Below are 23,741 nucleotides of genomic sequence, written 5' to 3'. Positions count from 1 at the left end.
TACACAAAATTAGCTGGGCATGGTGGCACGCGCCTGTAATCCCAGCTACTCGTGAGGCTGGGGCAGGAGAATCGCTTGAACCAGGGAGGCGGAGGTTGCAGTGAGCCGAGATCGCACCACTGCACTCCAGCCTGGGCGACAGAGCGAGACCGTCTCAAAAAAAAAGAAAAAAACTATTTCCATGATTTAGGACTGGCACGACCACAGTGGCGTCTCCTTTGTGTTTTTGGTGTGTGTTAAATATAACAAATTTCTTACCATTTCAGGGTTTGTCTGTAAAGATAGGAACTGGCAGGAAGTGATTATGATTTAACATTCTACATTATATTTTGAATATAGACACTTTGGAGAACAGGTAATGTTTTTAAAACCATTTCTCTCTTTGAATCTAAAATTTTATGGCACTGTGTCCTCAAAACACTTTTTTAAATTTTTTATTTTTTATGTATTTTTTTTTTTTTTGAGACAGGGTCTGTCTCTCACTCAGGCTGGAGTGCAGTGGTATGATCATGGCTCACTGCAGCCTCGAGTTCCTGGGGTCCAGTGATCCTCCTGCCTCAGCCTCCCAAGTAGCTGGGACTACAGGCATGCGCCACCGCACCTGGCTAATTTTTGTATTTTTGGTAGCCATGAGTTTTGCCATGTTGCCCAGGCTGGTCTTGAACTTCTGAGCTAAGTGATCCTCTCTCCTTGGCCTCCCAAAGTGCTGGCATTACAGGCATGAGCCACCTCTCCCAGCCATCCAACAATGCCTCAGTCTGTCTTTACTGGCTCAGCCAGGTGCTGGGATGGTGGTGAGCACATTGTAGAGAGCTCTCATTACTTGTTTTTATTTTCATAGTCTAGCTCATTTTCCTGATACGTGCTATTGTATTTATTTATTTATTAAAAAAAAATAAAAGACTGAGTCTCCCTATGTTGCCCAGGCTGGTCTTGAACTCCTGGCCTTAGGAGATTCACTTCGGCCTCCCACAGTGCTGGGATGATATGTGCTATTTTAAAAGTATACTTTAAAACTTTGTTTCTTTGAGGAATTTACTTTTTATTTTATAGTGAACTGGATCTTTCAAATCATCACAACAAAACATTACACCATTCATACTAAGTGGGGTCTAAGTAAAAGATCTAAAATGTAAACATTTTTCTGTTTAAGGTTTTAATTTTGAGGTCATTGTAGATTGACATACTGGTGTAAGAAAATAGAGTAATCCTGTGTATCTTTCCCCAGTCCTCTAAGGGTAACTTCTTGCAGAAATGGAGTACAATTACCACCAGAATATTGACATTGATACAGTCTATCTTCAATATAATCCACCATCTCATTCAGATTTCCCCGCTTTTACTTCTACTCATTTGTGTTTGTGTATTTAGTTCATTAACTACACTGCATACTTTATTCAGAACTCATTGGTTTTTATGTAATGTCCTTATTCTGTCTCAGAATCCCACATTACTTTGAGTCTTCACGTCCTCTTGGGCTCTTCTAGACAGTGACAGTTTCTCAGGCTGTCCTGTTTGGTGACCTTGAGAGTTTTGAGGAGTCCCGGTCATGTAGTTTGTAGAATGTCCCTCAGTTTTGGTTTTCTGATGTTTTTCTCATGATTCAGCTGTGGTTATGAGTTTTGGGAAGGAAGACCAGGGAGATGAAGTGCCCTTCTCATTCCCGTAAATTAAGGATGATGCTGTCAAGATGTCTTGGGTTGCTGGGCTTGACTGAATGGCCGAAGTCATGTTTGCCAGGTTTCTCCACTGTGGAGTGACTCTTTCCCTCCTTTATGTACTGTTTATAATAGAAGGGAGTCACTCTGCATAGGTACTCTACCGGGGTGGGGAGTTCTGTTCCTCCTCCTTGAGGATGGAGTAGCTACTTAAATTATTTGGAACGTTTATGTATGGAAGATTTGCTGATCCTCACTCGTGTGTTTATTCATTTGTGTATATCAACATGGACTTGTGGATATTGAATGTATGCTTTGGGTTATCATCCAGTGCTGTGTGGTTTGTTGTGTTGCTCCCATCATCTGGCTGTATCCACTGGGAGCTCTTTCAGCTGGCTCCGGTGTCCCTTTCACATAGCCACATTATTTTTTGTTCGTTGTTTTTGAGCACTTCCTTACTTTCTGGAACTACACGATGTTCTGGGATCATCTTATGTGTTTTCTGCCCCAGCCTTAGACTCCAGCATTTTCCAAGGATCCCTAGTTTCTTTTTTGGGAGAATGGAATTAGATCTCAAGATCTGGGCACTGGTGTGTTCATCATTACTGGGATATCCTGGCTTCTTGGCCCCCTCAAGGGACAGAGCTGGGAAACAGGTGTGTATATACAAATGCGTGCATATACACGTCTGTAATTTGATATATATTCATCAGCATCCCTATTAAGCTCTACATGAGTTCATGTTTATATCTCCAACTCTAATCCATTTCTATAGGGATTATTCTAGCCTTCCCCTCCAGTTTATCTGTAACTTCTCTGTCCAGCAGAGAAAATGCTGGCTCCCACTGTCGACAATCTACTTACTTACCTGTTGTGCTTTGGTATACATGAAGAGAGGTTTCAGAATTGTCCTGTACTCCCTTGGGAAATGACTTGACCCCCCCCCCCCTTACAGTACAGTGCTCAGTTACAGTTCCTTTTGCTTTTAGTCTTACACTCCCTCCTCATTTCCACATTACTTAGGTACTTCCCTCCCCACCCCTCTTGGCGGAGTTGTGTCCTATATGTGTAATACAATTGGTTTCTTCTGCCTCAGCCTGCATTCCATAGGGCCTCATCAGTTATTTTTAAAATCGCATATATTAAGGTTTGCTCTTTGTGCTTTAAAGCTCAGTGGATTTTGACAGAGGCATCCACAACTACAGTACTGTACAGAACAGTTGCACTGCCCCAAGAAATCCCTGTGCTTCACCTTCTAACTCTCCACAACCACTGGTCTCGTCTCCATCTCGGAGGTTTTTCCCTTTCCAGAATGTCATATCATTGGGTTCATACAGTCTGTAGCCTTTTCATACTGGCTTCTTTTGTCTAGCAATATCCATTGTATCCATTGAGTGGATTGAAAGTTCATTCCTTTTTTTTTTTTTTTTTTTTTTTTTGAGACGGAGTCTTGCTCTGTCGCCCAGGCTGGAGTGCAGTGGTGCGATCTCGGCTCACTGCAAGCTCCGCCTCCTGGGTTCACGCCATTCTCTTGCCTCAGCCTCCCGAGTAACTGGGACTACAGGCGCCTGCCACCACGCCCAGCTAATTTTTTTGTATTTTTAGTAGAGACTGGGTTTCACTGTGTTAGCCAGGATGGTCTCGATCTCCTGACCTTGTGATCTGTCTGCCTCAGCCTCCCGAAGTGCTGGGATTACAGGCGTGAGCCACCGCGCCCAGCCGAAAGTTCATTCCTTTTTCTTTTAATGGTATTTATCATGTGGCTATACTGGTAAGTCGTTTAAGTTTCTTAATCTGTAGGTTCTCTCTTCATTCCTTTCTTACAGTTTTTTGCTTCTACTTTATCTGTTGAAAAACTTGGGCCTTGTGACTTGTTGACTTCCCTATAGTCTGGATTTTGCTGTTTGCATACTCAACAGTGGAAGTTCAAAGTGTTGTGGTTTGTTTTTTTTTTGTCCTATTTCCTACAAATTGGTAGCAGGGTCTCCTATTAAGGCTTTTCCTGTATTTAGCACACAGACTTGATCACCTTGGTATTAAGCGGATGGAAGCTTAGGTAGGAAGTAAACTCAGTTTTCAAGGATTAAAATGACCCGCCTAATGGATATGTGAGTCTTTTTCTTGCCTCTTGTTTTATGTTGGCCAGTACCTGTAGCAGAGGGTGCTGAAGAGTAGAAATTGAGATAGAATTGAGTGTGAGTTTTATTATTATATGTTAGCAGCTCTGGTAAGAAACTCAGAGAATTAAGTGAGAATGGTAGATTAAAATGAGGCTTTAGGATAATGTGATTGCTCCCCATACATGTGTAATTGACAGTTGTGTGAGGTGAGCTCAATTTAAAGGAAGACTAGCCTAAGCTGGTCAGTACCAGGAGGATTTTGCCCCAGTTTGCTTCCGTCCAAGTGTGTGTCCCTCAGCACAGCATCTCTTGGGCTTCCTCATTTCCTGTTTATGATAATAGAGTACTCACCCCCATCCTTGAGGGATACATTCCAAGACCTCCGGTAGTTGTCTGAAACCACAGATAATACTGAACCCCATTTGTATTACGTGCAAACTTTTTTCCTTCATAATTTCATGGATAGATTTGTTCTTACTGTAGATCTTAGCAACCTTGTTATTTGATATTGTTTTCTTATTAAGAATTTTTACCTTTTCACGTAAAAGAAGCCCTTTATGGCTTTTCTTTGGCATATCCAAATTGCAGCATCAGTACTCTTGAGCTTTGGGGCCATATTAAGCCAAATAAAAGTGGCTTGTGTTCACTTTTATCCGTGATCACATCCGCAACAGTTGATGTGATCAGCAAGACAGCTACCAAGTGACTTAACGGGCAGGTGGCCTAGATGGCACGGAGAAGCTGGACAAAGGGATGGTCATGGGACAGAGCGGGATGTCACTCAGTTTCATCATGTTTCTCAGAACGGCGGGCAGTTTAAAGCTTATGAATTGTTTATTTCTGGCATTTCCATGTTACTATTTTCAGACTGAGGTTGACTGTGGGTAACTGAAACCACAGCAAGCGGAACTGTAGGTAAGGGAGGACTGCTGTGATATTTTATATTTCATACGTAATTTCCTTCTGGTTTTGGTAGTTGGGATACACTTTTTAGGTAGGCCTGGCAAGTAAGTCTCCTGACCTGTCCAAGGACATCACCGGCAACTGCTGGGTCCCAGCCTTGAAATGAGGTCAGTCTGAGGTCTTGCCTTTGCTGAATGAAATTACCCCTTCTGTAAATTGAAAGGTCTGGAGTCGCTGTACCCTTAGATTGATTTTGGCTCCGAGATTGAGGGGCCTGAGTCTGGAAGCTGAGGTTTTTGAGGTTGGGGAACTTAATTTGAGAAGATTATCTAATTTTGGCAAAGTCTTTAGCTTTTTAGTGCCGTATTTTTTTTTTCATATAAAGGATAGAATATTTAGGCCGGGCACGGTGGCTCATGCCTGTAATCCCAGCACTTTGGGAGGCTGAGGTGGGTGGATCACTTGAGGTCAGTAGTTCAAGACCATCCTGGCCAACATGGTGAAACCTCATCTGTACTAAAATACAAAAAGTTAGCCGAGCATGGTGGCACGCGCCCGTAGTCCCAGATACTCGGGAGGCTGAGGCAGGGGAATCACTTGAACCCGGGAGGCGGAGGTTGCAGTTAGCGGAGATTACGCCACTGCACTCCAGCCTGGTGACAGAGCAAGACTCCTTCTCAAAAAAAAAAAAAATTATACCTGTCCCTTCACTTATGTCAGTGTTTGAGTCCTTGAAAAAGTCACTGAAGAGAATGCACAAGAATTAAACTTACCTTCCTAAGATGCTCAGGTTTTAGACCAGTAGGAAGTCATGGGTAATGTGTGAAAAGTGCACTAGCTCTTAAGGTGGTGTGTCATGTTTGCACACTTTTAAAAGCTGGACTCAAAATTCAGTGTACTGTTGAGTCATCCCATAGGGTAAGTCTGGTTGACTACAAGGGCTCTGCCCCTCTTGCTCCTCCGCATCCTTCTTGGGGTGGGAGGTAGTGTGAGTGGGGAGATAAGAGGACAGGATATTCAGAGGAATATTCTTAATATCGGGACCAAATTAATGAATTTGGCAGGGTGTTTCTGTACTGCATAAGATCAACAACAATTAAATAATTGATCCTCTTCTAATTCCTGTCACATACAAATCCTAGTTATGTTTCAGGATTTGCTTGCAGTCTACTGAATCTACTTGAATTAATTTATAGGAGAAAAGGATTTAATTCAGAAATCATTGCAAGGGCTATGGAGTAGTAGATTCTAGGTTGAATTTCTAGGAAAACCCGCCAGCCTGGGGAATCCTGCCTCTGCAGGAGCCACCACACCAGAAAGTGGTGTGCTGGGCTGCTTAAACAGTGCCACCCCTCCACGGTCCATGTCAGCCTGTGGATGCCCCCACTGGGCCTCTCTCCTTAGCTTACTCACCAACCGCATCGTCTGCAAATGTGTCTCAAGATATGTTTGGAACATGAGCTGCAAGGGTGCCTGGGGAATGCATTTTCAACTTTTTTTTTTTTTTTTTTTTTTTTTTTTTTTGAGACAGGGTCTGGTTCTGTTGCTCAGGCTAGAGGGCAGTGGTGCGATCTTGGCTCACTGCAGCCTTGACCTCCTGGGCTCAAACCATCCTGAGTAACTGGGACTACAGGTGTGTGCCACCATGCCCAGCTAATTTTTGCATTTTTTGTAGAGATGAGGTTTCACCATTTGGCCCAGGCTGGTCTTGAACTCCTGGCCTCAAGCTGTCCTCCCACCTCGGCCTCCCAAAGTGCTGCATTCCTGGCGTGAGCCAACACGCCTGGCTGTGTTTTCTACTTTACAGTGCTGTGAAAGGAGATAGAATAAAAATGAATGTGAACCCCATGTGAGTGACCGGGCCTGCTGTAACAAACCACCACAAACCGATTAACTTAGAACAACAGAAATTTCATCTCAAATTATGAGACTGGACGTCCAAAATAAAGTGTTTGCAGGGTAGCCACTCCAGAGGCTATTCCTGGCCTCCTCCAGACACTGGAAGACATGTGCTACCTTACTCCTGTGTCTGCCTCTGTTACATTTAAATCTGATACAGTATTATCAATGGACGTGCTGTTCCACAGTGTAGATTGGGGAAAAATAATAATGCAGTGTTGGCATTGTTTAACAACAGGATACATTCTGAGAAATGCATTGTTAGGCGATTTTGTCTTTGTGTGAACATCATGGAGTGACTTAACACAAAGCTAGATGGTACAGCCTGCTGCACACCCAGGCTGTGTGAGATGGAGCCTGTTGCTCCTAGGCAGCAAACCTGTACAGCACGTACCGTACTGAACACTGTAGGCAGTTGAAAGACGGTTGTAAGCATTTGTGTTTCTATAGCTAAACATAGAGAAGGTTACAGTAAAAATATGATACTATAATCTTCTGGGACCGCCATTGTACATGCAGCCTGTCATTCACTGAAACATTGCTATGTGGTGTGTGACTATACCAGACATAAGATTGAGGTTTTATCAGTATGTCAGAGACAGCTGTTTTCTGTATTTAGCGCCAGTTGTCTTGTTGGTTGGCTGCTTGAATAATGTTGGAGAAGCTGTCTCTTAGCTGTGTTGGCTCCATAAGGCCTGTAAAATGTGTCTTCCCTGGTGATTGGTAAACCCGTGCAGGGGAGCATCCTAGGTTGTGTAGTAGAGATAGACCATAATGGAGTGTGTAGCACAGTCCTAGGTTGTGTAGTAGAGATAGACTATAATGGAGTGTGTAGCACAGTCCTAGGTTGTGTAGTAGAGAGAGACTATAATGGAGTGTGTAGCACAGTCCTAGGTTGTGTAGTAGAGAGAGACTATAATGGAGTGTGTAGCACAGTCCTAGGTTGTGTAGTAGAGAGAGACTATAATGGAGTGTGTAGCACAGTCCTAGGTTGTGTAGTAGAGATAGACTATAATGGAGTGTGTAGCATAGTCCTAGGTTGTGTAGTAGAGAGAGACTATAATGGAGTGTGTAGCACAGTCCTAGGTTGTGTAGTAGAGATAGACTATAATGGAGTGTGTAGCACAGCAGGAGCTTGTTGTGTTTAGTTGTTTTGTTCAGTGTTAGGTTTCTGAGATTCATCCACGCTGCTGAGTATATCATAAGTTCCTTTTCATTGCTGTGTACTTTACTCAATTAACTGTAGTATAGTTTATTCTTTTTACAAGTCATGAACATTTGTATTTTCAGCTCTGCGGTGTTGCAAGTAATAATGCTACAAAAGTCCTTGTACGTGTCTTTGGTTGCGTATAAACCTATGAATTGAAGCGTTAGGCTGTAGGGTACATGTGTTCAATTTAATAGTTGTCTTCTATCCATTTATTTGGAAAATAAGAAACCTACAACAAATAGCAAGAATGCTAAAATGAATATTGTATACATTTATATGGATTCATCAATTGTTAGCTTCTTGCTAACTGGTTTTATGTCTGTACCTTTTTCTGAATCATCTGAGGGCTGACTGTAGACATCATGGTAGTTTACCTCCTAAGAACTGGGACAGTCTCCTACATAAGCGCAATACAGTTATCACACTCAGTTTAATTTTTCAAATAGTACTATCTAACATACATTGTCCAACTTTAAATACCTGAATTGTTCCAATAATATCCTTTATGCCTTTAAAAATTGGCGTATAGGATTCAATCCAAGATCATGGATTGCATTTGATTTCATGTGTCTTTAGATTTGGTTCATCTAGAAATTCCTAGCCTATTTTTCTTTCATTACATTAATGTTTTTGAAGAGCTCAGGTCAGTCATTTTGCAGAAGTCCTTCAATTTGGACATACCTCCCTACTTCTCAGGAGCAGGTTCCAGATGGGTCGTGTTGGTCTGAGCACGCCACAGGCGCCGCCATGTTGTTCTCTGCACTTGCCTGCTCTGTGGTGGGGATAAGTTTGGTTAGGGTGGCGTTGGCCAGAGTTCTTTGTTGTAGAGGTAATCTTTTCCCGTTTAATTGACTGAAGTAGTCTCTGGAGTGATACTCTGAAACTGTATATATCTATTGCCTCAATACACAAGTACACGTGTGCATGCATACATACATACATACATACATACACACACACACACACACAAGCGGCCTGAGTTCCACCTCTGTGGGTTCAACCAACCACAAATCAAAGATATTTGGGGGAAAAAAGGGATAGGTGCATCAGTACTGAACATGTACAGACTTTTTCTCATGTCATTATTCCTGAAACAATATATTATAACCACTGTTTGCATAGCATCTACTTTGTATTAGGTATTGTAAGTAATCTAGAGATGATTGAAAGTTTATGGGAGGATGTGCATAGGTTATTTGCAAGTACATTTTGTATCAGGGACTTGAGTATCCATGGAGTTTGGTACCTGAGGGGATCCTGGAATCAATTCCTAGATACCGAGGGACAATTGTTTATGTAACTTAATATATTTTTTTAATCCAGGTGAAATTCACATAATACAGTTGACTGTTTTAGAGGAATCATTCAGCAACATTTCGTGGTTTACACTGCTGTGCAGTCACTGCCTTACCTGTATCAAATTTGAAAATGTTTTTATTTGTTCCTTGTTCTCCCTGTCCCCAGCCCCTGGCAACGTCCTGAGTTGTGTTGGTGGATTTATCTATCCTGAGTATTTCATGTAAATAGACTCATAGAATACGTGACCCTTTGTTTCTGGCTTCCTTCACTTAGCATGATATTTTCAAGGCTAGTCTGCACTGTAGCATGTGTCAGTACTTCACTCCTTTCTGTGGTGGAGTAATTAATATTCCATTGTGTATATGCTACAGTTTGTTCATCCACTCATCTGTTGATGACTATATGGACCTTTTCTACTATTTTCACAGTTGTGAATGACACAGTATTTTTTTACCCAGTGGTTCTAGCATCTACTGATGATTCTTGCCTGAATTAGTTACTACTATGATAAGCATAAAATGAAGATCTTGTATTTTTGTCTTTTTACGATATTTATTAGATGGAATTCTCCTGCGAAGAAGACTTTGTGTTTGTATAGTATTAATTTCTTTTTTAAAAAATCTGATGGGTACATAGTAGGTGTATATGTTTATCAATCTGGACTTACGGATTCTTTTAAAACTCAGTATAAATAATTCCTCTTACTCATTTCTGTGCTCGAATTGTGCAACTATTGCCAGTGGCGGCTGTCCCTGTTCACACGTCCCGTTAGTATTGTGAGTCAGTGGCACTCCTGGGTGGTTGGGGGTGTAACGGTTGTTTACCACTGTGCTCATCATTGCCGTGATTAACATTTCAGGTTTGTGAGGTCTGTTTCTTGGTAATGCCCTGCTCCTTTTTCTTTCTTCTGTACATTGCTTTGATTCATGTCTCCCTCCCTTTTTCTTGTTGGCTTCTAAATTTGCTGTGGTCCTGGAACCTGGATTTGCAAATCTGAAATGATGTCCAGGTTAAGGGTGACTAGGTGTGAGTTGCTGGCCTGCAGTGGGGATGGGAGCTGGGCTTGGGGTGCCCATCAGGATCAGGAGCAGGAGGTGGGGGAACATCCCCGTAGCTTACAGGGTTTTGGCAGTTGAAGTTGTGGACGGAGTTTTCCTATGGGGAGCTAGTTTTCATCTGAATGAAGTCCTGTTTGGGGGAACTGAAAGGATTAAACTGATCCTCTAGAGTAGTAAGCCTTGAAGATGGAATTCCCTGTCCTTTCTTCCAGTAGCTGTCTCGGGGGGATGCTTTGCTTGACTGTTTCCTCTGAGCACCCCTGTCTTATCACACAGCGTTCACTCCTCCTCTTCTCTGAATTTCAGGCCAAGTCCTGTATCTGCCATGTCTGTGGCGTCCACCTCAACAGGCTGCATTCCTGCCTCTACTGTGTCTTCTTCGGCTGTTTCACAAAGAAGCATATTCACGAGCATGCGAAGGCGAAGCGGCACAACCTGGGTGAGGCGAGCTTCTGGGATGGGGGGATAGTTGTGGCCCCCAAATTGCTACTCTTTGATTTTTTGATTTGCAGTTCCACTCTTCCAAAAGTCCACTTTGTCGTTTGTCTCAAGTAATGCGTGCCCCTCACTGGTGACACTTGGAAGTGAAAGGGACAAGCCGAGCTCAGCTGAATCGCGTCCTCAGTTTGCCTTCGCATCCGATGGTTCTGAGTGAATGGCCTGCTGTCTTATGTCCAGCTGACTTCCTGTGAAAAGTTGCACTGTCCCTGCTAATGAAACGTCAGACCCTTTGAAACACATAGGAATCACCTTAGGCAAACATTTATAAAGAAAGAGCTCCATGCAATATGAGGTCGCTGAGGCTGGCGTGGGGTTGGGTGGGCATAGGTGATTTTATGGCCTTCAGCAATGGGTTTCATTGTTTCCAGTCACACAGTTCTTGAAAAGGCTCCCTTAGCACTGTGTGTGGCCTCAAGATTAATTTACCTTTCACAGCCTTACAAAATCAAACTCATTCTACATTCTAGAAGTTACATAAAACTCAGTTTTGCTCTTGGCTTTTTCTTTTTTTTGAGATGGAGTCTCGCGCTGTCACCCAGGGTGGAGTGCGGTGGTGTGATCTTGGCTCACTGCAACCTCTGCTTCCTGGATTCAAGCAGTTCTCCTGCCTCAGCCTCCCATGTAACAGATTACAGGTGCCTGCTACCACGCCTGGCTAATTTTTGTATTTTTAGTAGAGATGGGGTTTCACTATGTTGGCCAGGTTGGTCTCAAAACTCCTGACCTCATGTGATCCTCCTGCCTTGGCCTCCCAAAGTGCAGGGATTACAGGCATGAACCATTGTGCCCGGCCTTGGCTTTGTTTTCTGACTTCGTGCATTAACTGTTTCTTCTACACAGTAGTGTTTTCCTTGGAATGCTCATGGAGTTGGCAGGATATCCTTCAGAACAGCATTTTCAAGCGGTCCAAGCTAGATACCTGTTTTAGGGAATAGTTCATGTGAGCCTAGCAATTCCAGGTAAAGATATTTTTAGGCTTTCCCGCCCTGAAGTTCTGTAATTTGATGCTCTTTTAAAAACATTAGCCTAGAAAGACCTATTGGAAACAACATGCGAGTCCATAAAGTCACTGCACCCACGTCCCTTACAGCTCTCTACAAGGAGTACTCGTAGTAAAGGATAAGACCCACGGCTTTAACTGAGGCTGACGACACAGATAGTGTGTCTGATTTTTTTTTTTTTTTTTTGGAGACAGGGTCTCGCTTTGTCTGGAGTCCAGGCTGGAGTGCAGTGGCGCGGTCATGGCTCGCTGCGGCCTTGACCTCCTGGGCTCAGGAGATCCTTCTGCCTCAGCCTCTCGTTGGGACCACAGGCACACACCACGACACCTGGAATCCCAGCACTTTGGGAGGCCGAGTGACTTCCTGTGTTGAAAAATTTTTTGTAGGCTGGGCGTGGTGGCTCATGTCTGTAATCCCAGCACTGTGGGAGACCAAGGTGGGCAGACTGGAGATCGAGACCATCCCGGCCAACATGGTGAAACCCCGTCTCTACTAAAAATAACAAAAAAGTTAGCTGGGTGCTGTGGCGCACGCCTGCAGTCCCAGCTACTCGGGAAGCTGAGGCAGGAGAATCGCTTGAACCCAGGAGGCGGAGGTTGCAGTGAGCCGAGATCGCACCACTGCACTCCAGCCTGGACAACACAGCGAGAATCTGTCTCAAAAAAAAAAAAAAAATTGTGGAGACAGGGTCTCACTATGTTGCGTAGGCTAGTCTTGAACTCCTGGGCTCAAGCGATCCTTCGGCTGTGGCCTCCCAAAGTGCTGGGATTATAGGAGTGAGCCACCATGCCTGGACACAGTGTGTCTGATTTTTTTTTTTCCTACTAATTTTTTTTTTTAAAGAAGTGAGATGAGGGAGGAGCGGTGTGGCTTGCACCTGTAATCCCAGCACTTCGGGAGGCTGAGGTTGGCAGATTACCTGAGCGCAGGAGCTCAAGACTAGTCTGGACAACATGGTGAAATCCTGTCTCTACAAAAAATTTAAAAATTAGCAGGGCGTGGTGGTGTGTGCCTGTGGTCCCAGCTACTCACTCAGGAGGTGGGAGGATCTCTTGAGCCTAGGAGGTCAAGGCTGTGGTGAGCTGTCATCAAGCCATTGCACTCCAACCTGGGTGATAGAGCAAGACTCAAAAAAATAAAGTAAAAAAGAAGTGAGACGATTTAAGGCAAAACATACCTGTATCTTCTATGATGTGTTTATGATCCAGCTGTTTTCTTATGGACATCTGGAAGCTGTCACCTCAATATCATGCTGTGCAATGGCACGGTCTCAGCTCACTGCAACCTCCGCCTCTCAGGTTCAAACAATTCTCCTGCCTCAGCCACCCGAGTAGCTGGGCTTACAGACGCACACCAACATGCCCAGCTAATTTTTGTATTTTTGTAGAGATGGGGTTTCACCATGTTGGCCAGGCTGGTCTTGAACTCCTGACCTCTGGTGATCGCCTGCCTCGGCCTCCCAAAGTGCTGGGATTACAGGCATGAGCCACCGCGCCTGGCCCTATTAACCATTTTTAAGTCTACAAGTCGGTGACATTTAGCACATTTACAATGTTGTGTGTCCTCCACCTCTCTAGTTCAAAACTTTTTTGCACCACAGAGGAATGCGTCGTTAACAGATCACTGCCTGTTGCTCTCTCTCCTGTCCCTTGGTGACTTGAATCTACCTTCTGTCTCTGTGGGTTCTCCTTTCCTGGATATTTCATATGTGTGGAATCATATAACATGTGGCCCTTCGTGTCTGGCTTCTTTCCGCAAGCATGCATTTGTGATTCATCTGAGTTGTATTATGGATTAGTATTTCATTCCTTTGTATGGCTCAGTCATGTTCCATTGTTTATGTAGACCACATTCTTCATCCGTTCATCTGCTGATGGACGTGTGGGTTGTTCCCATCGTCTTGGTGCTTAGGAATAGTGCCACTGTGGACATTGTGTGTAATTCTAGGGGGACATGTTTTCATTTCTCTTGGATGTATACCTAGAAGTGAGCTGGCAGGGTCATCAGGTCACTGCTTAACTTATGTGAAACACCATCTTTTTTTTGTGGCTGCACCATTTTAATTCTCACCAGTGATGGACAAGCTTTCCAGTTTGTTCACATCCTTGCCAACACTTTTATTTTTTAATACCCATAATAGTGTGAAATGGTATCTCATTGTGGCTTTGATTTTCATTTTCTTAATGACCAGTGATGTTGAATATTTGTTCATGTGCTTGTTGGGCCATTTGTATATGTTTGGAGAAATATCAGTTCATGTCCATTGCTTTTTTTAAATTGGGTTGTTTGGTTTTTGTTGTTGTTCTTTATATATACACATGCACAGTATACAGTGTGTGCGTGTGTTGGGGTGTGTGTGTATATTCTGGATACTGGACTCTGAGCAGATGTATGATTTGCAAATGTTTTCTCCCATTTTGTAGGTTCTTTTTAGTTTCTTGATAGTGTCCTTTGAAGCACAGGATCAGACGTTTTTAATTCTGATGAAGTCCAGTTTCTTTTTTCTTTTCAAGACACTATCTCCCTCTGTCACCCAGGCTGGAGTGCAGTGGCACAATCACAGCTCACTGCAGCCTCAACCTCCCAAGCTGAAGTGATCCTCCCAACCTCAGCCTCCTGAGTGGCTGGGACCACAGGTACGCGCCACCACGCTTGGCTGATTTTTTGTACTTTGTGTAGAGATGGGGTTTTACCATGTTTCCAAGGCTTATCTTGAACTCTGGGCTCAAGTGATCCTCCCATCTCTGCCTCCCAAAGTGCTGGGATTCCAGGTGTGAGCTGCTGCTGCCCAGCCTGGTTTTATTTTTTCTTTTGTTGCTGATGGTTTTGTGTCAGATCTAAGAATCCCTTACCAAATCCGAGGTCATGAAGACTTGCCCTTAAGTTTTCTTCTACGAGTTTTATATTTCTGGTTCTCATATTTAGGTCTCTGATCCATTCGAGTTAATTTTTTGTATACAGTATGAGGTAAGGATTTGTAGGTGAATATTCAGTTGTCCCAGCAGCATTTGTTACAGAGATACCCTATCCCCTCAAATGGTCCTGATGCCTTGTGGATGTCGGTTGGTTTTATGCAGTGGGAGCGTTGCAGTGTGAAGGCGTCTTAAAGAAGGCCTAAATCTAGAAGGATTTACATAGGCACTGGAATGGTGATCCGTCTTCCCAGGCTAGAGTTTTTGTTGTCAGCTACATGTGTGGGCTGTTTTTCACGGGATATCTTGGCCTTACTGTAAATTCTCATCACCCTTATTGTAAACTTGTCTCTGTCAGGATTTCTCTGTGACGTCCATGTGCTGGGGCTGTACTGCTGATGAACAGGAAGTGGCAAAGGTTGATGGCTGAGCTCTGCGACAGCTCCCACCAGGATTTTAACATCGTTGTTGGCATTTTGTGAATTTTTTGAGTAGGGCAGAAGGTAGCCCTGGGAATCTTAAACTGCTGTTTTGAGTTTCAACAGATCTGCTTTGGAAGACTTCAAAGATTTACCACAATATAAGTCGTAGTAGCTTAAGACCTGAAATAGAATAAAACTGTGGTGTTCCAAGACTTCCCTGTTTATCCGGGGATGCACTTAAGTTATATACTAACCTAATCATCACACAGCTCTGGGAAGCACTAGTACCGTTGCTATCAGCATCTTACCGCAGGGGAAACTGAGGCTCAGAGGTGTGGAGTAATTGATGAAAGGTGCACAGCTGGCAGGTGGCATAGTGAGGGCTGGTGCCAGTTACTCTCAATCCATGGTCTTTCCTCTGTGCTTCGCTGCCTCCCGGGTGTCTGACATCACGTGGATTTAAGCCCCACTCTCCCAATTTTTTTTTTTTTTTTTTTTTTGAGACATAGTCTGGCACTCTCGCCCAGGCTGGAGTGCAGTGGTGCAGTCTTGGCTCACTGCAGCCTCTGCCTTCCGGGCTCAAGCCATCCTTCCACCTAAGCCTCTTGAGTAGCTGGGACCTTAGACACACACCACCACACCCGGCTAATTTTTGTAGAGATGGGGGTTCACCATGTTGCCTAGGCTGGTCCTGGAACTCCTGAGCTCAAGTGATCCACTCACCTCAGCCTCCCAAAGTGCTGGGATTACAGGTGTGAGCCACCACGCCGGGTTTCTCTCCCAGTTTTTTAAAAAATATTTTAACTTTTATTTTAGTTTCAACGGTACATGTGCAGGTTTGTTATATAAACGTATTATTCAGTGGTTTGGTGTACAGTTTATTCCCTCACCTGGGTATGTACTGTAGTACCTGACAATTTTTTTTGTTTGTTTTTCCTGATCCTCTCCCTTCTCCCACTCTCCACCCTCAAGTAGGCCGCAGTGTCTGTTGTTCTCCTCTTGTGTCCATGTGTTCTAATGGTTTAGCTCCCACTTATAAGTGAGAACATGTGGTATTTGGTTTTTCTGTTCCTATGTTAGTTTTCTAAGGATAATGACCTCCAGCTCCATCCATGTTCCTGCAAACGACATGATCTCATTTCATTTTATGTATACATGGTATCCCATGGTATATATGTACATTTTCTTTATCCAGTCCACCATTGGTGAGCATTTAGGTTGATCTCATGTCTTTGCTATTGTGAATAGTGCTGCGATGAACACACGCATGCATGTGTCTTTATGGTAGAGCCATTTACCTTCCTTTGGGTAGGTAATCCTGGTTCATTTGGTTTTTTTTTTTTTTTGAGACGGAGTCTCGCTCTGTTGCCCAGGCTGGAGTGCAGTGGTGAGATCTCAGCTCATAGCAAGCTCCGCCTCCCAGGTTCACGCCATTCTCCTGCCTCAGCCTCCTGAGTAGCTGGGACTATAGGTGCCTGCCACCATGCCTGGCTAATTTTTTGTACTTTTAGTAGAGACGGGGTTTCACCATGTTAGCCAGGATGGTCTCAATCTCCTGACCTCGTGATCTGCCTGCCTCGGCCTCCCAAAGTGCTGGGATTACAGGCGTGAACCACCACACCCGGTTAACCCCAGTTGTTTATAAATTGTTGAATGGAGAGAGTACCTTTTTTCAGGCACTCAGAGGACTTTATCTTACTTACTTTTATGATAAAATAATTAAGAGCCCAAACTATTAGTCCTATTTTATTTTATTTTATTTTTTTGACTTTTTACAAATTATTACTTTTAACAAAGAAAGCAAAAGTGGATCTTATTTCCATAAAATAAAGGTTTATGTTGACAATTAAAAACTGGACATGCACACGATTAGAAAGTTCAAACGACACGAAAATGTATACTTCTCCCCAAAGGAAACGACTGTGAACAGTTTCTTGTGACTGTTTTAGAAAATTGAAATTTATACATACATATGTATCTCTTCTTATTTGTGAAAAGAATATACTAGTATTACTATAATTTTTTTATTTTTATTTTTATTTTTTGAGACAGAGTCTCACTCTGTTGCCCAGGCTGGAGTGCAGTGGCAAGATCTTGGCACACTGCAACCTCCCCTTCCCAGGTTTCAGCTGTTCTCACGCCTCAGCTCCCCGAATAGCTGGGGTTACAGGCGTGTGCCACCATGCCTGGCTAATTTTTTGTACTTTAGTAGAGATGGGGTTTCACCATGTTGACCAGGCTGGTCTTGAACTCCTGGCCTCAAATGATCTGCCTACATCGGCTTCCCAAAGTGCTGGGGTAACAGGCATAAGTCACAGCTCCTGGCCTATTAGTCCCATTTTTTAGAAGATGCAGTTGAGAAATTGTGGTAGAAGACCCACCTTCAGGCAGCTCTGGGTCAAGATGTCAATCAAAGTCATCCGATGAGAAACTATTTTCCCCCTGTACTTAAGGTAAGAGTAGCAAATGCCGCCAACCACAAAAGTCACAGCAAGTTGCTGCCACATTCTTTATGGTGATGGTGTCAGGAATTCTAGATGGAGGGAAGCATAGTCACTCCGTGTCAGGTGGCCAGGACTGAAAATATCCAATGCAGTTGTACCAGTTTTAAATACCACGCATTCAGAGAAGGTGGCAGAGGTCCTGATCCTGGAGTATTGGCTGCTTTGAAAAGTATGTATGGGTCGCCTCTGTTTTTTAAGACACCTCAGCCCTGGGCATGAGCTGCCAAACACAGTGCATGCCCCTCACCTGCTCAGGATAGGAGACTCCGCTGGACTGGCTTCCCTGCTTGTGAATAGGAAGGTGCTGTGAACAGTCAGTATCTACAGAACCTCACTGTGTTTAACTCTGCCCTCCAGCCTTCCATTGTGGTTTTTAATTCAACTTGGTTTCTCCTCCCTCCTTTCTCTCCTCAGCCATTGATCTGATGTACGGAGGCATCTACTGTTTTCTGTGCCAGGACTACATCTATGACAAAGACATGGAAATAATCGCCAAGGAGGAGCAGCGAAAAGCTTGGAAAATGCAAGGTTTGGTTCCACCTCAGTTTACCTGCTTGATCCTGCAGTTCCCTCATGTCCATCAAGGGCAGACCCAGTAGGAGAAAGAGAAGTACCTAGGTGGGAAGTGGCAGGCTGGTGGGAAGAGGCCGTCCCCACCTTCCCCTAAGGCCCACAGTGGAGTCAGCTGAAGCTCTGCATGACAGGGGAGGTGGCTAGTGTCGAGGCATGCATAGCTGCCCGTGTGCTTGGGACCACTTCCAGGGTGCTTCCCTTGCAGGTCCCCCATGGGCCTGCAGCTGGGCCAAGGGAACAACCCCAGCATTACTTAAGCTCTCCCAGGGCGCACCTGCAGATGTGGGGCTGAACGAGTGTGGCGAGGTCACACCTCTCGGGGACAGGTGACTCCGTATCTGGACATCCCTGAGTGGTTTGCCCTCAGCTCTGCCGAATTCTAGCAAGCGATCTCTTTGCAGTAATGTTATATGTAAACATACCTCCTTCCTCCCAGGAGAGCAGACTATTTTCGGATCAAGTTGTGGTAGAATCTCTTTTAAAACTCTGGACTGTTTGGGTGATGTTAAATCCATGTCAACAGCGTGCACCCACCAGATGGAAACTAGACCCACCAGATGGAAACTAGACCCACCAGAAGGAAACTAGGAGAGTCTCCCAGCAGCCCCACTGCACAGTCAGATCCTTGCCATCTTGTGAGCTGCCCTCACGGCTCTCGCACCAGTGTGGGTTTTGCACTTGCCGTCGCCACCGTGTGGCCACACACACTGGTTATTGGCTACACAGAGTGAGAGGAGCAAACATGCAGTCATTTTCTTTATTTTTTATTTCTTCTTGGCTTCCCTGAGTTTTTTTTCCTTTTTTTTTTTTTTTTTTTTTTTTTGGTTTTTGATTCTGACAGATGCTCATAGTGGTTGACAGTGATAGTGACATAGTGACAGGTGTGGTTTACCCCAGTTGACAGGTGAGCATCTGATCTCCCTGGTAGCAAAGCCATCACTGTTTGCAAAGGAAACATATGAACCTGACACCTGTTTTACATTCTTGCCTTGATTACTCTCCATTGAAAACACCCCAGTGTTTTGAGAAGGGAAGAATAGCAACAGGGGCTCTTTCAGTGAGCAGAATTATTTGTGTTTAACAAGTCTTCTCTGGAGAGCAATCTCTGACTTGTGTTCGCTGTTCTTTTCCCTCTCAGAAATTTAATAACATTGTGACTAAGTGTGGGTGTATTATTCTGTGCAGAGCACTTAAAGCACGGGCCTAAGAAATGTATGTCCAGGATTAAAATGGAATTCTTCTAGAATCATTTTATAATTCTGTCTATCCAACATGCTGTGTCTTTTAAAGTATTTTGAAGTATTCAGAAATGTTGGTTGGCATGGAACAAGTACTTCTGAGCGCATAGGGTGTGCGTTGAATGGAATACTATGCCAATTAGCATTTACCACCACTCTCTGAATATTTTGTGGCACACACGTTTTTAACTGTTGGATCTATCTTAGTTTGGTAACTCGACGCTGAGTTTATGCTATTTCAGTTTGCTGAAAAGTGCAAGCTCTCTCCTTCAATTTCACTTGTTTGCGGGAGAATCCTTCATGTAAGTTCCCATTGGTGCTGATGCTGCCATCTCTGTGCTGAAGGATGGAAGACATTTGAAAAACAACTGTTTTGGCATTGGCGTTGGGGTAGTTTTGACTGGAGGTGCTGCTTTTCTTGCAGGAAACGTAGCTCACATCCTCATACCCTCTGTGAGAAGCTCCTTTAAGTGTTGTGTGTAGCCCCTCTCAGCACAGTAGAGTTTGAGAAAGCCCTGGTGCTGTGGATGTTGCTCACTGAAATGCACCCTGACAGACAGCATAGCGCCACAGCTTTTATGTGTAAACACACTTGATGTGAAAATCTAGCTAATAGCGCTTGGAACTGTCCTTCATCTGCTTAGGCGTTGGAGAGAAGTTTTCAACTTGGGAACCAACCAAACGGGAGCTTGAACTGCTGAAGCACAACCCGAAAAGGAGAAAGATCACCTCGAACTGCACCATAGGTGGGTGGAGCGTGTCGTCACTCTCAGCTAGGCTTCTTTCCAGGGTTTAAAAGTAAATACAGAATTGTGGGTTTCTTAAGTCCACATGATTCTGTTGAAGCCCTGCATAACTGTCACTCATCAATGTGCTCAGCAACCAGCTCTTGAGCACCTGTTCTCTGCAGGGACCTGCAGTGGGCTTGGGGCGCAGAGTGATGCGTAGCAACAGCCCTGCCCTCACAGCCTTCAGCGTCTGTGTGGGTAAAGGGACTCAAGTTGATTTTGGCCAGGGTGAGGCTGGGCACAGTAATCTTCAGGGAGAGAAATGATGTGTGTGAGTGTAAGTGTTCGCTGAATTTTCTACAAATTGAGGGAATACCCTTTAAAACTTTTTCTTTTTCTTTTTTGAGACAGAGTCTTGCTCTGTTGCCCAGGCTGGAGCACAGTTCACTGCACCCTCTGTCTCCTGGGCCCAAGCGATCCTTCCACCTCAGCCTCCCAAGTAGCTGGGATTGCAGGTGCACACCACCATGTTTGGATAATTTTTGTGTTTTGCGTAGAGACATCTCACCATGTTGCCCAGGCTGGTCTCGAACTCCTGGGCTCCAGTGATCCTCATGCCTTGGCTTCCCAGAGTGCTGGGTTACAAGTATGAGCCCCTGCCCTGGCCCTAGAACATTTTTAAAAACCTGTTTTGTTTGTTCATTAGGCTTCACTCTGACCTGGCCTGTTGTCGTAGAAACTATATTTGTGTAATTCTGTCAAAGCATACAATGGCTGAAGTGGGAGGGGTCCATGGTGGTGGACATTCTTCAATACCGTTCATGTAAAAGTGGCATAAAAACTAGCAGAATGCGATATCTCATCGTGTTCTGGCTTGAATGAATGAATAAAAGAAAATGAGTATGTAGAGGTAGAGGAAGCCGCTGGGATCCAGCGACACCTGTGGTTCAGCACACAGGTAACTCCTGCTCTCTGGTGATTTGTGTCCAGGTCTGCGTGGGCTGATCAACCTTGGGAACACATGCTTCATGAACTGCATCGTGCAGGCCCTGACCCACACGCCACTTCTGCGGGACTTCTTCCTGTCTGACAGGCACCGCTGTGAGATGCAGAGCCCCAGCTCCTGTCTGGTCTGTGAGATGTCCTCACTGTTTCAGGAGGTGAGCGCCATTGACTTCTGCAGGGGAACATTTCTGTTACTTTGTTTTCACCTTCAAAAAAAAAATTTAAGGTGGACCATGATAAAGGAAGATACATTTAGAACCTTTTGTAGTAAGTTAATGTTTAATATACATGTCTATTATGGAAAACACAGTTTTCCAAAAAGGGAAGACCTGGCGTGATTTTTGGGGACGCACTGCTGACTCAGAACAAGGAGAAGCCCTTTGAGAGGCTTGTGGCAGAGACTTCCCTGGTGGGTGACATTTGTCTCTAAAGACGGGTGATTCTCCCCCTTCCTCTTCCTCCATGGTCTACCTTCCTGGCTCAGAAAGGCACGCATGTGTCACCCTCCTGTGTCCTCCTGGTATGCGAGTCTCCTCCACCGCCAGGTCTCTCTAAGCATGCCCCATCAGAGCCTCTGTCCTCATGAGCTACGCGCTGCACGTTGGCTGTTCCTGTGGGCTGCACGTGTGGCGTTCCTGTCCACTTCTGTCCCCGGCATCAGAGCATGGCAGCGTTCAGAGCAAGGCGTTCACGGCTGCCGCCTCAGCCCTCACCGGCTCCGTGACCTAGACATGCTTCTCAGAGCTGAAGCAGCTCAGTTACCTCAACTAATAAGCAGGCTGGTGCCTGTTCTTCAGGTGCCTTGCACAGGAGCCAGCCAACAGCCCTGGCCTGTTCCCATTCGTAACCTCTGCGAGAGATGCAGCCACGCCAGCTCACTCATGTCTGTCTGGTCACTGGTCGCTTTTGTGGGACAGCCACAGAGTTGAGCAGTTGGACAGAGGCTATCCAACCTGCAAAGCTGAAATTATTTACTGTCCAAGCCTTTCAAAAACAGATTGCCAGCCTCTGGTCGAGCCTAACCGATTTCCTCAAAGTACCTGCAATGTGCCATAACTGCTGGGGACACGGCCCAAATAGGAGAAAGGAGGGTGCAGCTGGGAAGTTGGTGGGTGGTTGTATCACTGACTTTAGTGATAAGCTCACTTGTGTTAGATTGTTTTTAGACTCCGGCTTGTTAAGGTGTAAATTACAGTCACACCCACCTTCTAGCCTATAGATAGATGAGTTTCGACGAATGCATAGTTGTGTAACTGCTGCTACTCAAGATGAAGAACTGTTACCTCTCCGAACTCCCTCGTGCCCCTCCGAAGTCAACCCCCAGTCCCCAGACCCTGGTAGCTGCCGATCTGTCTTCGGTCCCTTGAGTGTCCTTTACCAGCGCATCATACGGATGGATGCATGCAGGAAGTAGCCTTTCTGAATCTGGCTGTCCCTACTTAATGTAATACTGGGTGGATTCACCCGTGTCTTGCGTGCATCCATGATGTGTGCTTTCGATGTCTGAGTTGGGTTCCATTATGTAGATGGGTTATGGTTTAGTTGTCTGTTTCCCAGTTCAGACACATTTGGGTGGTCTGTGGTTTTGGGTTTTTTGATGAGAAATAAAACTGCCCTGAATTCTGTATTTGCACAGGCAAGACCCCTCTGTGGGTTCTGACCTGGGGAGGAAGCCGTGGGATGGAAGGTGTGCTGCTGGGTCTGCGGCTGGAGTTGAGCTGTTGGAGAGGACTGGCTGGCAAGCCCTCAGCTAATTGCCATTAGCCTCAGAGGCAGAGAATCCTGTGGCTGATGCTGGTGAATTCTGCATAATCACAGTGATGTGCTTCCCTTTGCGGAGGTGCTGGTGTCCATGGGCCTGAGTGGTTTGGCTAGTGCTTTGAGGAAACTAGTATTGGGCAAATCGAGTCACTTTTATTTGCATGTGATCTCATAGTAGCAAGTCATAATTCATTTTTTAGGCTTATATGTGGAAAACTAGATGGTAGAAAGGAAAAAATTCATATGAGGACTCGAAAAGTCCAGTGAGCCCAGATAAAAATAGACTTTGCAAAAAGTAGAAAAGTAAAATCCAAACATTTGTGTCAAATGAGCCACAGCCAATGGTAGGCATCTGATAAAGGTTTTGATTGTGTGTACTCTGTGTTCAGAGTCTACATTTATTCCTGACAAGGTTTCCTTCCCCGCCCTCTGGCAGTTTTACTCTGGACACCGGTCCCCTCACATCCCGTATAAGTTGCTGCACCTGGTGTGGACCCACGCGAGGCACCTAGCAGGCTACGAGCAGCAGGACGCCCACGAGTTCCTCATCGCGGCCCTGGACGTGCTCCACCGACACTGCAAAGGTGGGCCCTGGGCTCTGCACCCTCCACCAGGGCAGGATGTTTTCCTTGAAGGGGAAGGAAGCAAAGCGAGTGTATGCACTCGTGCAAAAAGGGGCACAGGTGACACATTCCATTGTTTTGTCATCATAGCCCTTGTCGTCATTTGTTTCTGAAGTCACCATAACTAATGACCTCAGAGAGGCTCCTCCTAGTTTATTTTTAAGAGGCGAGGAAGTAGTTCCAGCAGTATGACAGGTCCTCAGTGACCGATCACAGTGAACAGCAAACTCTTGGAGCCCTCTTGGGCCTGTGCTTTGAGGCCCCTGCCTGCCCTGGCATTTCTGGGACCCTGTGGGTTATCAGGCCTGAGGCTTCTGGACATCCCC

General features: G+C 44.9%; 1 protein-coding gene across 3 annotated transcripts in view, besides 2 other annotated features; it reads left to right on the top strand.

Moving 5' to 3' along the window:
• The window catches only part of USP22 (ubiquitin specific peptidase 22), a 43,824-nt gene that overhangs the window by 4,292 nt on the left and 15,791 nt on the right, over positions 1-23,741 (top strand). For 2 of the 3 annotated variants that reach the window (XM_005256575.3, NM_015276.2), the window contains exons 2-6: positions 10,454-10,586; positions 17,902-18,015; positions 19,943-20,044; positions 21,017-21,186; positions 23,229-23,376. In XM_005256575.3, coding sequence (XP_005256632.1) covers positions 17,913-18,015; positions 19,943-20,044; positions 21,017-21,186; positions 23,229-23,376 — 523 coding nt within the window. In that variant the 5' untranslated portion in view covers positions 10,454-10,586; positions 17,902-17,912. The remainder of the gene's footprint in view (positions 1-10,453; positions 10,587-17,901; positions 18,016-19,942; positions 20,045-21,016; positions 21,187-23,228; positions 23,377-23,741) is intronic. The other variant, XM_047435703.1, reaches the window with a different exon arrangement.
• Positions 4,584-4,703: a silencer, noted in NCBI's record as "silent region_8311". NCBI's record gives its function as "represses an Ori minimal core promoter by ATAC-STARR-seq in GM12878 lymphoblastoid cells {active_cell/tissue: GM12878}" and the evidence as "EXISTENCE:reporter gene assay evidence [ECO:0000049][PMID:35858748]".
• Positions 4,725-5,226: an enhancer, noted in NCBI's record as "H3K27ac hESC enhancer chr17:20937215-20937716 (GRCh37/hg19 assembly coordinates)". NCBI's record gives its function as "activates a minimal SCP1, AML or CMV promoter by ChIP-STARR-seq in naive and primed H9 embryonic stem cells {active_cell/tissue: H9 hESC(naive and primed)}" and the evidence as "EXISTENCE:reporter gene assay evidence [ECO:0000049][PMID:30033119]".

This window comes from Homo sapiens, chromosome 17 (genome assembly GCF_000001405.40).
Source record: "Homo sapiens chromosome 17, GRCh38.p14 Primary Assembly".
Taxonomy (NCBI): domain Eukaryota; kingdom Metazoa; phylum Chordata; class Mammalia; order Primates; family Hominidae; genus Homo; species Homo sapiens.
The sequence above is the reverse complement of the archived record's forward strand: the minus strand, read 5'-3'. Positions and strand labels throughout refer to the sequence as shown.